Source organism: Homo sapiens, chromosome 10 (assembly GCF_000001405.40).
Source record: "Homo sapiens chromosome 10, GRCh38.p14 Primary Assembly".
Classification (NCBI taxonomy): Eukaryota; Metazoa; Chordata; class Mammalia; order Primates; family Hominidae; genus Homo; species Homo sapiens.
This window is the reverse complement of record NC_000010.11, coordinates 32,276,604-32,292,737: the sequence shown is the minus strand read 5'-3', so window position 1 is coordinate 32,292,737 and position 16,134 is coordinate 32,276,604. Positions and strand designations below refer to the sequence as shown.

Below are 16,134 nucleotides of genomic sequence, written 5' to 3'. Positions count from 1 at the left end.
TAACCCTTCAAATATATAAATTTTATGGGTCAATAACTATACCACTAGTTAGAAATACTTACTAACATTAAACAAGCAACTTCACATTTGCAGAATCGCAAAAATGATGAAGCCTCTTACGAAAAAATGCTTAAGCTGCGACGAGATCTAAGTCGAGCTGTTACTATTCTAGAGATGATAAAAAGAAGAGAAAAAAGTAAAAGAGAGCTATTGCACTTAACACTGGAAATTATGGAAAAGAGGTAATGTATATTTTAATAATGTTAGAGGAAGTATAGTGCCATTAACATTTTGTATATTGAGTTAATTTATTTCCTATGCAATAATCTAATTACAGAAATATCTTTTTTTAATAATAGAGACTTTAAATATGTGGTATGATACTTTTTATACTTTTACATGTTTTCCTCTATTTTCTTTAAAAGTGACTGGATTCACTTAAGTTAAAACATACCAAGTATTTCCATTTCAAAGTGGTCTTTTTTGGTCCTTGAGTTGCATGTAGGACTTGAGTTAATTGATAGTACTGCTTCTTTTTTAATGCATATAAAATTTAAAACACTGGATTGTTAAATAGAAAAGGGTAAAGAAAGAGGGAGAAAGGCCCATATATCTTACCACTCAAGCATTTGGCAAGGTACACAATGAAAACTTAAAGAAAACTTCTGCCCTATTTCTAGTCCCTATCCCCAAAGAAAACCACTTTTAAATTTCTTGTGATTACTTTTAGAAAAATTAGTTTTAAAGCCCAGGCAATTCTAATTAGCAGAAAGATCCTTAGCACCATTTTAGGCATTACTTTCAACTTCACCAAATCTTTCACCAAAATTGCTACATTAAAATTCCAGCTTTTGATTTTTTCCCAACAATCCTCTATTTATATGCCATGATAAAGCTATAAGCCAAAAAAGTAAAAGGAAGAAACAAAAGGAATTATGTAATCTTTGAGAGAAATTGAATAGTCAAAGTTTAACTACAATCTTGCCTTAAATGTAATTGGTGTTTATAATTATATCTCAGTCAGCTAGTTATTAATGGTTATAAAGATAAATACTTATAAAACTAACTTTCCAAAATTTTCTTCTTTTTCCTGCTTTATTTAGGTATAATTGACAAATAAAAATTATATATTTTATATGTTGGTCAAAGGGTACAGACTTACAGTTATGAAATGAATACATTCTGGAGACCTAATGTACAGCATGGTTAATAACAATGTATTATATACTTGAAATTTGCTAAGAGTAGATCTTAAGTAATCTCACCACATATACACACAAGGTAATTATGTGAGGTGATGGATATGTTAATTAGCTTGATTGTGGTAATTATTTCACAGTATAAATGTATATCAAAACATCACATTGTATTCCTTAAATATATATAATTTTAAACTTTCATTTGTATAATTTTAGGTATAATTTGGGCGACTACAATGGAGAGATCATGTCTGAGGTTATGGCACAGAGACAGCCAATGAAACCTACTTATGCCATCCCCATCATCCCTATTACTAATAGCAGTCAATTTAAACACCAGGAAGCAATGGATGTGAAGGAGTTCAAAGTTAATAAGGTGATTAATGTTTTTGTGATAATAGTATCTAATAATGGGATGGTATTTTATCATTAGAATGAAAGTTAAAAAGAAAAACACACATAGGCCGGGCACAGTGGCTCACGCCTGTAATCCCAGCACTTCGGGACACGGAGGTGGGTAGATCACCTGAGGTCAGGAGTTCGGGACCAGCCTGACCAACATGGTGAAACCCCGTCTCTACTAAAAATACAAAAAAATTAGCCAGGTATGGTGGCATGCGCCTGCAATCCCAGCTACTAGGGAGGCTGAGACAGGAGAATTAATTGAATCCAGGAGGTGGAGGTTGCAGTGAGCCAAGATCACACCATTGCACTCCAGCCTGGGTGACACAGCAAGACTCCATCTAAAAAAAAAAAGATAAAAAAAGAAAAATACATATATACCCCACCTTAATGTATACTGCAATGATTGTGCCACAATATGAAGAAAAGCAGAAGTCTATAATTAAAATTTTATTTTTGTTTCTCTTCCTTATAAAGGGAAGCTTTTGTTACTATATCTGATAAAAGGAAAAATATTCCTTTTACAAGTTGTAGGATTATGAAGTATTGAAATAATTCATACAAAATATGGAGAGTTAGGGAGAAAGACATGAAATCCTCCCTGATCAGATGAGTTTTTCTTTCTTTCTTTTTTTTTTTTTTTTTTTTTTTTTGACAGAGTCTTGCTCTGTCACCCGGGCTGGAGTGCAGTGGCCGGATCTCAGCACACTGCAACCTCCACCTCCCGAGTTTAAGCGATTCTCCTGCCTCGCCTCCCCGAGTAGCTGGGACTACAGGTAGCACGCGCCACCATGCTGGGCTAATTTTTGTATTTTTAGTAGAGGTGGGGTTTTGCCATGTTGGCCAGGCTGGTCTCAAAACCCCTGACCTCAGGTGATCCGCCCGTCTAGGCCTCCCAAAGTGCTGGGATTATAGGCGTGAGCCACTGCACCCAGCCTCAAATGAGTTTTTCTGTCTTTTGTGGACACAATAGTGTATAAGAGGGAATTTTGATATCTTAATAGTAATATAATGATTTAGAAATGGAAATATTTGACAAATTAGTACTTAACTAAGTCACAATTTGTGAAGAATAAAATTTGTGAGAGGAAATAAAATTAGTGAAGGAAAACTGAGGTAAATAAAGGAGAGCCATTAATTAAGTGGCACTTTCTTGGAAAGTGTACATCTGAGGAAAAAGTACGTTATGCATTTTTTGTATGAAATTTTTCATGGCCGGGCACGGTGGTTCATGCCTGTAATCCTAGCTCTCTGGGAAGCCGAGGCAGGCGGATCACAAGGTCAGGAGATCGAGACCATCCTGGCTAACACGGTGAAACCCTGTTTCTACTAAAAATACAAAAAAAATAGCCGGGCGTGCTGGTGGGCGCCTGTAGTCCCAGCTGCTTCAGAGGCTGAGGCAGGAGAATGGCGTGAACCTGGGAGGCAGAGCTTGCAGTGAGCCGAGATCGCGCCACTGCACTCCAGCTTGGGCTACAGTGCGAGACTCCGTCTAAAAAAAAAAAAAAAATTTCATGAAACTTTGCATCTACCATACCAGTTTAATTTGAGGAATGGGAAAATTTGCCATCAGTTTTATCTCCCCTGCATCATTTAATATCATGCTCACTCAGGTTTTTTTTTTATTGTGGTAAACAGACCTTCAAGCCTGAATGTACAACCTGCCACACAGTTAGAATGAATGATGATTTCCCCAGCCTGGACTTTTTTTGCAGGGGGAGGCGGGGAGTTATTTAAAGCAGTGCCAGGGACCAGACCATTTTGTGAAAAAACATGGACTTTTTTTTTTCCCACTTTGTTAACATGGACATTTTGATTTTTAAAAAACGTAGGGGAGGGTGGGAGGGAGAGTAGAGTTATTCTCGTTATTCTCTTCAATGATCTGGAAAGTTAGAGCTGTGCCCCAAAATACTGTTTTAGTTTACTCATGTAAGTTTTTATTTAAATTTTGCATTTATTTAAATTTTATGTCCTGCATTTGTAATATATTAGTTCTAAATGTATCTTTAAAGTTTAATGGGATTGTTCCCACTGTTACTTTTTTTTTTAAGGCAGAGTCTTGCTCTGTCACCCAGGCTGGAGTGCAGTGGCGCAATCTTGGCTCACTGCAACCTCCGCCTCCTGGGTTCAAGCGATTCTCCTGCCTCAGCCTCCCAAATAGCTGGGACTACAGGCGCATGCCACCACGCCTGGCTAATTTTTTGTATTTTTAGTAGAGACAGGGTTTCATCGTGTTAGCCAGGATGGTCTCAATCTCCTGACCTCATGATCCTCCCGCCTTGGCCTCCCAAAGTGCTGGGATTACAGGCATGAGCCACCCCACCCGACCTCCCACTCTTAACTATTTTAATGTGGTCCCCCCCTCTGAGCCCTACATGATTTTGTGGACTACTTTAGTGTTATCCTTCAGTTATCATATTTTAAGATTAATTATCCTATTATTTGCTTTCCTCTATATGTGCCACTCATACTTGAAAGTTACTTTAGGCCGGGTGCAGCAGCTCATGCCTATAATCCCAACACTTTGGGAGGTAGAGGCAGGCAGGTCACTTGAGGTCAAGAGTTTGAAACCAGCCTGGCCAACATGGCGAAACCCCATCTCTACTAAAAATACAAAAAATTAGCGAGCGCAAATTGCTGTAAATGGGTAGTAATAGCACCTAAGCATAGCATAAGGCTTTGAATTAGTAGGTACTTGGGAGGCTGAGGCAGGAGAATCACTTGAACCTGGGAGGCGGAGATTGCAGTGTGCTGATACCGCACCACTGTACTCCAGCCTAAGTGACAGAGCAAGACTCCATCTCAAAAAAAAAAAAAAAAAAAAGAAAAAAGTAATAGATAATAATGTAGTCCTCAAGCACTGCCCTAGCTGACAGCTGATGTTAGCTTTTAAATAATGTTTTGCATTGCCATGGCCAACTTTTGATTTGATTATCCTGTCAAATACAACAGTAGAAATTGTGGAGAGATGCCTTATGGTTTGGGAAAACCGTAGTTTTCCCAAAAAACCATAATGTCATAAACTACATAAAATGTAACATGAATATTTAGCGTATTTACATAACCGTGGTATTTGCCGTGATCTTTTTCTTTCCAACAAATACAATTTTTGCCACTACTTTACCTTACCTATTGCCTACGTATCAAATTCATACTTCTCCCAACCTTTGCCATCATCTGCAATACATGTTTCGAACATGCTGTGTTCCATCAGCTCAGTTACTGTTGCCTGTATATTTTATCCTGCATTTCCCCTATTTAATGATTTCATATCTTTATCCTTTAAAACTGTTCAAAAGTCACCATTTCAGAAAGCTTACATTGTTCAGCCCACAAATCCTTACTACTCTTTATTTGTATAACCCCTCACTCAGCATTATGGCTTTGTTTTCTACTATGTTAACAGTTTTCTGTAGTTTGCTTTCTGTGTATACGAAGACATTTTCATTATTATTTGTCCTATATTTATTATTTGTTGAGAATAAGGATTAGACAATCCCCTTTAAAAAAAAATTCTCTTCTAGAATTTTCATAGAAAATTAAGAAAATGGGAGGAGCCAGCAGTAAATACACTAATTGCAGTTGTAAGACTTCAGAAGTTGGAGAACTTCTGTTCTCTCCTTTTAATTGAAACAGAATCATTTGTGTGATTATGTTTAGATTGTAGGACAAATTTATGCTTTCATGGAGGCCAACTTCTCTAGACTTTACACTATAAGATGGCCAAACATAGAGTGTTGTGTCTCTTATGAATATGAATGCCCTCATTATAGCAATAAACTTCTTTTTAAAATTTCCCCCAAAACTGCAAATTTGTTGAACATGGTTTCTGGTGTATAATTAATTCATGTCTTTGTTGCAGCAAGATAAAGCCGATCTTATCCGACCGAAACGGAAATATGAAAAGAAGCCCAAAGTCTTACCATCGTCTGCCGCTGCTACTCCCCAACAGACGAGTCCTGCTGCACTGCCAGTCTTCAATGCTAAAGATCTGAATCAGTATGACTTTCCCAGCTCAGACGAAGAACCTCTCTCCCAGGTACAAATACAATTCTCTATGAACATTGAGGAGGGATGTAGGAAGTCACGTATCTGACCTACTTTCTTTATTTCATTTAAAGGTTTTGTCTGGCTCTTCGGAAGCTGAGGAAGACAATGATCCTGATGGTCCTTTTGCTTTCCGTAGGAAAGCAGGCTGTCAGTACTATGCTGTAAGTTTCAGAGTGTCTTTGTAAATAACAAACTATTTACCTTTAACTGACAAAATTAAATAATTTGGATTTTTTTTTTTAAGCCTCACTTAGACCAAACTGGCAACTGGCCTTGGACTAGTCCTAAAGATGGAGGATTAGGGGATGTGCGATATAGATACTGCTTAACTACTCTCACCGTACCCCAAAGGTGTATTGGATTTGCACGAAGACGGGTTGGGCGCGGTGGAAGGTAAGGTATTTCTGTATTCCTAGCAGAAGGATATTTTAGGCATTAGGGTGATTGAATCTAACTTTTAAAGTCAGGTAATCCCTCTGAACAACTCATTAGTTCCTATTTGCTATTCTTAACTGATCTGTTGACTAAAATATTTTTGTTGCTGTGCTGCCTGGTTCTTACACATCCATAGTTTTTGACATAACTCTATTGGGTCCCTAGTGGACCTGCTTTTCTCCCCAAGGTGGAAAACCTCAGATAAATTATCAAGGGGTAGAATTGTGAGAAAGGGCAACAGATGAAGACAAGTGTAAATCCTGATTGCACACAGTGTATTAAGTTAAAGAAACTGCAAAAAAGTTGTTTCACACTAGCTAGTATAATGGGTTTAACCTGACAGTGAAAAGGATCCATGCATAACCTGATCTTGACATCCCAGTTTGTTAGGATCTAATTGTTCTTCCTTTGTTTAAACCTTGTAGAATTCCTTCCTTCATACTCTAAATGCCTTTATGCGAGTTGCTTGTATGGGGACAGGAAACAAATAGCAAAACACATAAACTCAAGGAATGGAGAGACGTTAATGTATAATGTGCGGGGAAAATTAAAAGGGAAAGCAAATAATAGTATCAAGGTGCTTTTTCAGGAAGAAACCCAAGCGTATATTTATGATAAACTAATGGCTTATACATATATTTTTTTCATCTTCAACTCTTAATTGCAGAGGGTTTTTTTTTATTATTTAAACATTGGTTAAGAATTATCTAGGCACTAAAATACATTTTATTTAGTCCGTTTTTTTCCATCACTGCTGACATCAGGAGCAGTGAAAATTCTCTACGTTAGCTATATTTTATTCTATTACTAACATTAATCAATGTTATTATTTTGACTTGGAGCCATTTATAATGTTTATATAAATAACATAAGAGGCCAGGCATGGTGGCTCACACCTGTAATCCCAGCACTTTGGGAGGCCAAGGTGGGTGGATCACTTGAGGTCAAGAGTTTGAGACCAGCCTGGCCAACATGGGGAAACACTGTCTCCACTAAAAACACAAAAATTAGCTGGGCATGGTGGCAGGCGCCTGTAATCTCAGCTACTCGGGAGGCTGAGGCAGGAGAATCACTTGAACCCTGGGGCGGAGGTTGCAGTGAGCCAAGATCGCACCATTGCACTCCAGTCTGGGTGACAGAGTAAAACTCCATCTCTCTCAATCAATCAGTCAATCAATCAATAACATAAGAATATATCCTCTAGAGTAGTGGATCTCAAATATTTTGTCTATAAGAAATGTTAATGGTATACTATGTTTTTTGTTGCTTTTCTTCTCTCTTCTCCCTTTCCCCCCAAAAGGAATGAAGTTTTTGCTTAAATATAGAATAAATGTGTTCGCAACATTTTATAAAGCATTCATTTTGGTGCTTTGTAATGGAAGTGAAAATCTTTAGTTGAAAAACAATTTGTTAAAAGAACTTTTATTAGAAATTGAGGTTGTAGCCTATAAAAACCAAACACTAAAATAATCAACTTTAAAGCTTTTAAATATTCAGTATGAGTTGGCCTTTTGGCAGTTGGGGGTAAAAAGAAAAAGCTTTAATATATAATCTTTGAATAGCTATTTTAAATAACTGTTTCTTGTCTGATTTTTTAATAGGGTCTTACTGGACAGAGCTCATTCAGACTATGACAGTGTGTTTCACCATCTGGATTTGGAAATGCTTTCCTCACCACAACATTCTCCAGTCAATCAGTTTGCCAATACCTCAGAAACAAATACCTCGGACAAATCTTTCTCTAAAGACCTCAGTCAGATACTAGTCAATATCAAATCATGTAGATGGCGGCATTTTAGGCCTCGGACACCATCCCTACATGACAGTGACAATGATGAACTCTCCTGTAGAAAATTATATAGGAGTATAAACCGAACAGGAACAGCACAACCTGGGACCCAGACATGCAGTACCTCTACGCAAAGTAAAAGTAGCAGTGGTTCAGCACACTTTGGTATGTTGACTGTTAATGATGTACGTTTCTATAGAAATGTCAGGTCCAACCATTTCCCATTTGTTCGACTATGTGGTCTGTTACATTTATGGCTTAAAGTCCTTTTCTCTTAAACAGTTAAAAAAAAAATCTTGGTCTAAGTATTTATTTGAATCCTGTTGCTATAGGAGTTTGTATGTGTGTGTCTTCATTTAAACATACCTGCATACAAAGATGGTTTATTTCTATTTAATATGTGACATTTGTTTCCTGGATATAGTCCGTGAACCACAAGATTTATCATATTTTTCAATAATATGAGAAGAAAATGGGCCGTAAATTGTTAACCATTTTATGTTCAGATATTTCTCTAGTTTTTACCTAGTTTGCTTTAACATAGAGACCAGCAAGTGAATATATATGCATAACCTTATATGTTGACACAATAATTCAGAATAATTTGTTAAAGATAAACTAATTTTTCAGAGAAGAACATTTAAAGGGTTAATATTTTTGAAACGTTTTCAGATAATATCTATTTGATTATTGTGGCTTCTATTTGAAATGTGTCTAAAATAAATGCTGTTTATTTAAAATATTCCTATAATCTTAGCTGTCTGTTTTAAAGCATAAGTTTGTGTTATTTGAAGCCTATATATTGTAGAAATTCACCATTGAATTATGTTACTACTGATTTTTGTAAAGGTAATCTGAGGACTATGAAGATATTTATCATTCCCCTAATTCACCCTGTAGGGTTATAGTTAAGTTGCTTCATAAATATGAACATTTGCTCTGATTCTTAAAGACCTCCAGAAAATGTTCCGTAAACTAATTTACTTGGTGGTTAAAAAAAAGTACAGTTGACCCCTGAACAACATGAGGGTTAGGGGCACCCCCCAATTGCAGTCCAAAATTCATGTATAACTTTTGACTCCCCAAAAACTTGACTAATAGTCTGCTCCTGACCAGAATTACCAATAACATAAACAGTCCATTAGTCCATTAACATAAACAGTCCAAACATACATGTTTTGTATGTTATATGTATTCTGTACTTCATTCTTAAAATAAGCTAGGAAAAAGAACATGTTATTAAGAAATTTATAGAGCCAGGCATGGTGGCTCATGCCTGTAATCCCAGCACTTTGGGAGGCTAAAGTGGGCAGATTGCTTGAGCCCAGGAGTTCAGGACCAGCCTGGGCAACATGGTGAAACCTCATCTCTACAAAAAATGCAGAAATTCACTGGGTGTGGTGGTGAGCGCCTGTAGTCTCAGCTACTCAGGAGACTGAGGTGGTAGGAGCCCAGAAGGTCAAGGCTGCAGTGAGCCAAGATCATGCCACTGCATTCCAGGCTTCACAGCAAAGCAAAACCCTGTTTCAAAAAAAAAAGAAATTCATAAAGGAGAGAAAATACATTTACTAATCATTAAGTGTAAGTGGATCATCATAAAGGTCTTTATCCTTGTCATCTTCACATTGAGGGGGAGGAGGGGTTGGTCTTGTCATCTGAGAGGTGACAGAGGCAGAAGATAATTTACAAATAAGTAGACCCAGGCAGTTCAAACCCATGTTATTCAAGGGTCAGCTGTACTTCTATGAAATGGAAGTCTTTCAGCTCATGAGAAAAATAATCACAATTCAGAAATCAGCTGGAAGATAAAGCTATTTTAGGGACTAACAGCTTATTTATAATCCCATTAATGTTACTGTCTTTATCACCAAAAGCCAGTTTCTCTCTACTTTTATAGTCTTAAGAATCAAAATAAAGAACTTTTCAATAAAGACTTACTTATAGTGTTAGTATAGAGGTTTTAACAGTATAAACCTGTCATAGGTTACCCTGATAATTAAGCTTTCTAAGCTGTAAAAATTCTTTAAGACTTCTCAGAAAATAGGCATGTTCCATCAATCTCCATCTTCTCCACCCCTTAAATAGAGAAGTTGAAGTGTATAACTATCCTAAATATTTAAGGATTTTATAATGCTCTTTTTTTATGAAAAATGTTTTGCTATACTGCTTTAGGCATATTAATAACAGTTGTAAAAATTGTTTGATTTGTGTTTGCCCAAAGAACATTAAAAGATGAGCATTACCAAAAGCTTAGCTGAAAAGAAATCATTAGTAACCTTGTAATTTTTCTTCTTTATCATTTCTTTCCTCCATATATGCGATACAACTATTTATTTATTTATTTAAGACAGGATCTTTCTCTGTCACCCAGACTGGAGTATAGTGGCACAGTCATGGCTCACTGCAGCCTCAACTTCCCAGGCTCAGTGATCCCCCAACCTCAGCCTCCTGGGTAGCTAGGACTGCAGGCGTATGCCACCATGACTGGCTAATTTTTTGTAAGAGATAGGGTCTATGTTGCCCAGGCTAGTCTTGAACTCCTGGCCTCAAGTGATCCTCCTGCCTTGGCCTCCCAAAGTGCTAGGGTTACAGGGGTGAGCCACTGCACCCAGCCTCAATACTACTTTTTAAAAATGAGTTTATCTATTTTTTTTCCTGTTGTCTTAATTATTTTCAATTTCTCCTTAAATTTTGCTAGATCTTCTAATACTTAGAGGATAGATACCTACAGACTACTGTAGGGTAACACTGTTCATTTATATTTGTGAATATTCCAGAGACCTAAAGCTTTTCTCTGCATACTTTATAAAGTATATTACAATGCAGCCATATCATAAGTGCATTTCACTTAATCCAACTCCAGGCCCCTGAAGAAAAAAAAAACAAAATTTAGGCCAAGTGTGGTGGCTCATGCCTGTAATCCCAGTACTTTGGGAGGCCGAGGCGGGCAGATCACCTGAGGTCAGGAGTTCCACACTAGCCTGGCTAATATGGCGAAACCTGGTCTCTACTAAAAAATACAAAAATTAGCTGGGCATGATGGCAGGCGCCTGTAATCCCAGCTACTCAGGAAGCTGAGGCAGGGAGAATGGCTTGAACCTGGGAGTCAGAGGTTGCAGTGAGCCGAGATTGTGCCATTGCATTCCAGCCTGGGCGACAGAGTGAGACTCCATCTCAAAAAAAAAAAAGAGAAAATGTAGCAGCTCAAATGTTATACAGAATTCTAAATACAATTTACTGAAAGAATATATTCTCCAGAGTGAGCCTGGAGTAGGGGAAGTTGAATGTGTTGGTCCTCTTACGGCGTGAGTGCCCGCATTGCCACTTTATTCATAGGTTAAGCATCTTACCTCATTCAGTAGTAATTGTGATTTTAAAGATAATTTTTAATTTTCATACAGCATGGCCCCCACATACAAACCAGACTACTTCCTCTGGCACTTAACCAAAGAAACTCTGATGTAGTCTGATGCCAGCAGAAAAACTGGCAGTGTTGGGCTAATTAAAACAGAAGAGTCAGGCCAGGCACAGTGGGTCATGCCTGTAATCCCAGCACTTTGGGAGGCCGAGGCAGGCAGATTGCCTGAGATCACCTCAGATCAGGAGTTCAAGACCAGCCTGGCCAACATGGCAAAACACGTTTCTATTAAAAATACAAAAATTAGCCAGACGTGGTGGTGGGTGCCTGTAATTCCTGCTACTCGGGAGGCTGAGGCAGGAAAACCACTTGAACCCAGGAGGCAGACGTTGCAGTGAGCCAACATCACGCCACTGCACTCCAGCCTGGGTGACAGGGCAAGACTCCATCTCAAAATAAATAAATAATAAAAATTATGCATGAAACAAAGTATTGACTGCATTTTGACTATGGCCCCATCACATGAGGCCAGGTGTAGAATTTTCCACTTGTAGTATCAGGTCAATGCAGAAAAAGTTTTGGTTCTTGGAGCATTTCAGATTTCAGACGTTCATATTAGAGATGCCCAAGTTGTTTATGAGTTTGGAAGTTAACTATTTTGTAAAATACAAGTCAGCTGATAAGCTTTCCTGCTACTTAAGCCAAATATGCGAGTTATAGTATAGCCATTTCTGATTATTCATTGTTTTTATGTTTGTCATGTTTTTGAGACAGAGTCTTGCTCTGTCTCCCAGGCTGGAGTGCAGTGGCATGATCTCAGCTCACTGCAACCTCCACCTCCCCGGTTCAAGCAGTTCTCTGCCTCAGTCTCCTGAATAGCTAGGATTACAGGCACCCGCCACCATGCCTGGCTAATTTTTGTATTTTTAGTAGAGACGGGGTTTCACCATCTTGGCCAGGCTGGTCTTGAACTCCTGACCCTGTGATCCACCCGTTTCGGCCTCCCAATATGCTGGGATTACAGGCGTGAGCCACCGTGCCTGGCCTTTTTTTTGAGATACAGTTTCACTCTGTCTCCCAGGCTGGAGTGCCATGGCGTGATCTCACTCACTGCAACCTCTGCCTGCTGGCTTCAAGTGATTCTCATGCCTCAGCCTCCCAAGTAGCTGGGATTACAGGTGCGCACCACCACACCCAGCTAATTTTTGTATTAGTAGAGACGGGGTTTCACCATGTTGGCCAAGCTGGTCTTGAACTCCTGACCTCAAGTGATCCGCCTACCTTAGCCTCCCAAAGTGCTGGGAGGCTAAGTTAAATAGGAAATTCTAAATGAAGATAATAGAAGTACATTTTAGTAAAGTGCATGAGCTTTAATATGCTGATTTTATAGTCTGTTTCAACTACTCAGAATCTTTTTTACTTTCCTTCCCACTCTTGACTATTTTGCATATTTGTGTAGCCTGAGCAGTCTGGTATCAGGCTTCCTAATACCTGAGTATTGTGTGAGTTAGGTGTGTTGAGTGCTTGGTCCTCTGGATACCATGCAGCAGGATAACACAGTGGTAAGGAACTGGGAAAGACCGTATGTGTATATGGAATTTTGGGGGCTAGGTTTTAGTACTTAAGGATAAATTGTATATTTTTAATAATCTTCAGTTAATAGGTGATTTTGGACAGTTTCCAAATACAGTTGTTTTTTTAATACTCACAAAAGCACCTTGGGAAGTTGAGTGTTCAGTGACTGACTATGCATTTGCATAAGGACTCTTATGTAAGAGTCCTTATATAATTCAGAAAGACTGGAAACAAAGTGATTTTTAAGCTACAATTCTATGTTCAATATGTGAATTCCTAATTTCCAGTAAAATTTCACCAGCATTCTGAATTATTTTTCTAAGCTCTCATATCTGCAGTAAAGATTTGGTTTATTTTTATAAACGAATAAGAGATATATGGTTAGAATGATATGTTCCAAGTCTTAATATCCGTAACTTAGTGCAATTTAGTTTGCAACATAACATCTTAATCCTACTGTGGAAAAGGAACTCTAGATTTGAGCACTGAATATTTTGTAAGATTTTGTGAATTTGCAGGACCTTGACTTTATTCAAATGTGTTCCAAAATTCATAAGTTTTTTTTCTTTTTTTTTTTTTTTTAAGACAGAGTCTCACTCTGTCGCCCAGGCTGGAGTGCAGTAGCACGATCTTGGCTCACTGCAACCTCCGCCTACCGGGTTCAGCGATTCTCCCACCTCAGCCTCCCGAGTAGCTGGGACTACAGGTGCGTGCCACCACGCCTGGCTAATTTTTGTATTTTTTAGTAGAGACGGGGTTTCACCATATTGGCCAGGCAGTCTCGAACTCCTGACCTTGTGATCCGCCTGCCTCAGCCTCCCAAAACGCTGGGATTACAGGCGTGAGCCACTGCGCCCAGCCTCAGAATTTTTTTTACTATAGAAGGTGGATTATTATATAACATCTGTAGCAGAGTCTGGAGTAGCACCTGTAGTAAAATACATTAATAGTTCTATAGTCATATAATAAAATGCAAGAATATTCACACTAAGAGGAATATTTGACTGCAAATAATCTCATGTTCAGTCATTCACGGCCAGATGAGGTCAGGTCTGGTCATAGTTTGCCAACAAATGAATTAAAACAAACTTTGGTTTTCAAATTAGATTGCTAGATGGCTGATAAGGCTCGTGAACCCTGTCAACTCAATCTCACTAATTAGGAGATCATACTTTAATAACTACCTGAAGAATCATTTTACCTTTTGTTTTATATTAAAATAATGTTTGGCCTGTGTACTAAAAGAAATTTCTAATTCAGGGTCTTTAGGCATTTGGGGTTACTTTTGGTTTTGTTATTAAAAACAAAGTAACGAGGTCAGGAGATCGAGACCATCCCGGCTAAAACGGTGAAACCCCGTCTCTACTAAAAATACAAAAAATTAGACGGGCGTAGTGGCGGGCGCCTGTAGTCCCAGCTACTTGGGAGGCTGAGGCAGGAGAATGGCGTGAACCCGGGAGGCGGAGCTTGCAGTGAGCCGAGATCCTGCCACTGCACTCCAGCCTGGGCGACAGAGCGAGACTCCGTCTCAAAAAAAAAAAAAACAAAAAAAAAAAAACAAAAAAAAACCAAAGTATACATTTTGAGGGGCTAGGTGCTGTGGTTCACGCCTATAATCCCAGCACTTTGGGAGGCCAAGGCAGGTGGATCACTTGAGGGCAGGAGTTCAAGACCAGCCTGGCAAACATGGCGAAAACTCCGTCTCTACTAAAAATACAAAAATTAGCCTGGTGTGGTGGCACACGCCTGTAATCCCAGCTACTTGAGAGGCTGAGGCAGGAGAATCGCTTGAACCCGGGAGGCCTGGGCAACAGAGCGAGACTCCCTCTCAAAAAAAAAAAGTGTACATTTTGGTAATCTAAACTCCATCTTTCACGGCTGAATGTTTCCTTAGCACCCATCACTTTCCCCTCAGCTGCACTCCTTTGATCATCTCAGTTGATCACCTTTAGCTATAAGAGTGCAGTGCACAGAGCAGCAGTCTGAACTATAGGCTGTTCCAGCTGCTGGTGTACCATACCATGGCTTCCCTTTAGTACAAATGGACTCAGAGAGTCTTAGGCCGGGCGCAGTGGCTCATGTCTGTAATCCCAGCACTTTGGGAGGCCAAAGCAGGTGGATTGCTTGAGCCTAAGGAGTTCAAGACCAGCCTGAGCAACATGGTGAAACACCCATCTCTACAAAAAAATACAAAAATTAGCCAGGCATAGTGATGCTCGCCTGTAGTCCGAGCTAGAGCTACTTGGGAGGCTGAGGTGGGAGGATCAGTTGAGCCCAAGGAGGTCAAGGCTGCAGTGAGCCCAGATCACACCACTGCACTCCAGCTTAGGCAACAGAGTGAGACCCTGTCTCAAAAAAAAAATTTCTGCCCAAGAAAATTGGTTACTTAGAAGCTACCAAAACAAAGGTAGTTTCTACTTCTGCCTAAGTATTTCTAGTGAAGCTAAATTCAACAACTTTCTAGATTGAGTTGTTTGAGGATCTTGGTTAGAAAGTTTGTCTATGTATTGAACCAAAAACTGCCTTCTTAAATTAAAACCTGCAGGTCCCTGGTTTGCTCATGGAAGCATACCGAGTGAGTTTGCTCCCCCTTCAGCATCATAATGGCCTTCACCCAGTTGAAGTCCTATCATGCTTCCTTTCCTAATCCCGTTCCTGGTTAAATATTTGGAGCTTTTAATCCTGTCCCACACATAGGATTCTCCTTGCGTAGACCCTTGTTTGTCAGGTGCTCTATGTGTGTGGGCTTTTTAAGCACTTGATTCATATTGTTGGTACCTCAGAAGATAGATTTCTTGTAAATATTAAATCCAAGAATTTTTGTCTATTTTTCAATTTAAAATCTCATTGCTTTGGGGTTCTCTTTTCCTTCCACTGTTACATATGTGTGACCTCAGAAGTTTCTTCATCTCTAGATGAGGTTGTAGGAAGAAATCCTACAATCTCTAAGAGTCCTTCCTGACCTCAAAATTTTTTGGTTTTGTGAAAGGATTCTGACTGTAGGTTTGGTCATCTGTCAACAACAACCATCTTGTCCACCTTTGTGGGAATTACAAACTTGATTCTCATACCATATCAGGAGGTAGACATACAACCTAAAAATGTTCTACCTTGATATCTCAATCCATTCATAGACATTTAGAGAGGGTGAGCATGGTCATTTTTGTCTTATTTCCATTTAGCATTTGGTTAGACTTTCAGGTTATAATGGTATCATGACCTGAGGTTCAGATTTCTTTTGCCCATATTTACTACCTTGGTACAGGTTTTTCTACTCATTCACACTGGGACCTTCTTTAGGAATTGAACTTTATTTCTCAGAAGAA

General features: G+C 38.9%; 1 protein-coding gene across 13 annotated transcripts in view; it reads left to right on the top strand.

The window, feature by feature from the left end:
- EPC1 (enhancer of polycomb 1) overlaps window positions 1–16,134 on the top strand; it is a 111,019-nt gene that overhangs the window by 86,032 nt on the left and 8,853 nt on the right. For 9 of the 13 annotated variants that reach the window (NR_168511.1, NR_168510.1, XR_001747214.2 and 6 more), the window contains exons 5-10: window positions 94–242; window positions 1,416–1,575; window positions 5,464–5,640; window positions 5,723–5,812; window positions 5,896–6,044; window positions 7,688–8,040. Coding sequence is in view for 8 of the 13 variants with exons in the window: in NM_001282391.3 (NP_001269320.1) it covers window positions 94–242; window positions 1,416–1,575; window positions 5,464–5,640; window positions 5,723–5,812; window positions 5,896–6,044; window positions 7,688–8,040 (1,078 nt within the window). In the remaining 5 variants the exon portion in view is untranslated. Of the gene's footprint in view, window positions 1–93; window positions 243–1,103; window positions 1,282–1,415; window positions 1,576–5,463; window positions 5,641–5,722; window positions 5,813–5,895; window positions 6,045–7,687; window positions 8,618–16,134 lie in introns of those variants that run through there. The other 4 variants (NR_168509.1, NM_001382755.1, NM_001382756.1 and 1 more) reach the window with 4 other exon arrangements.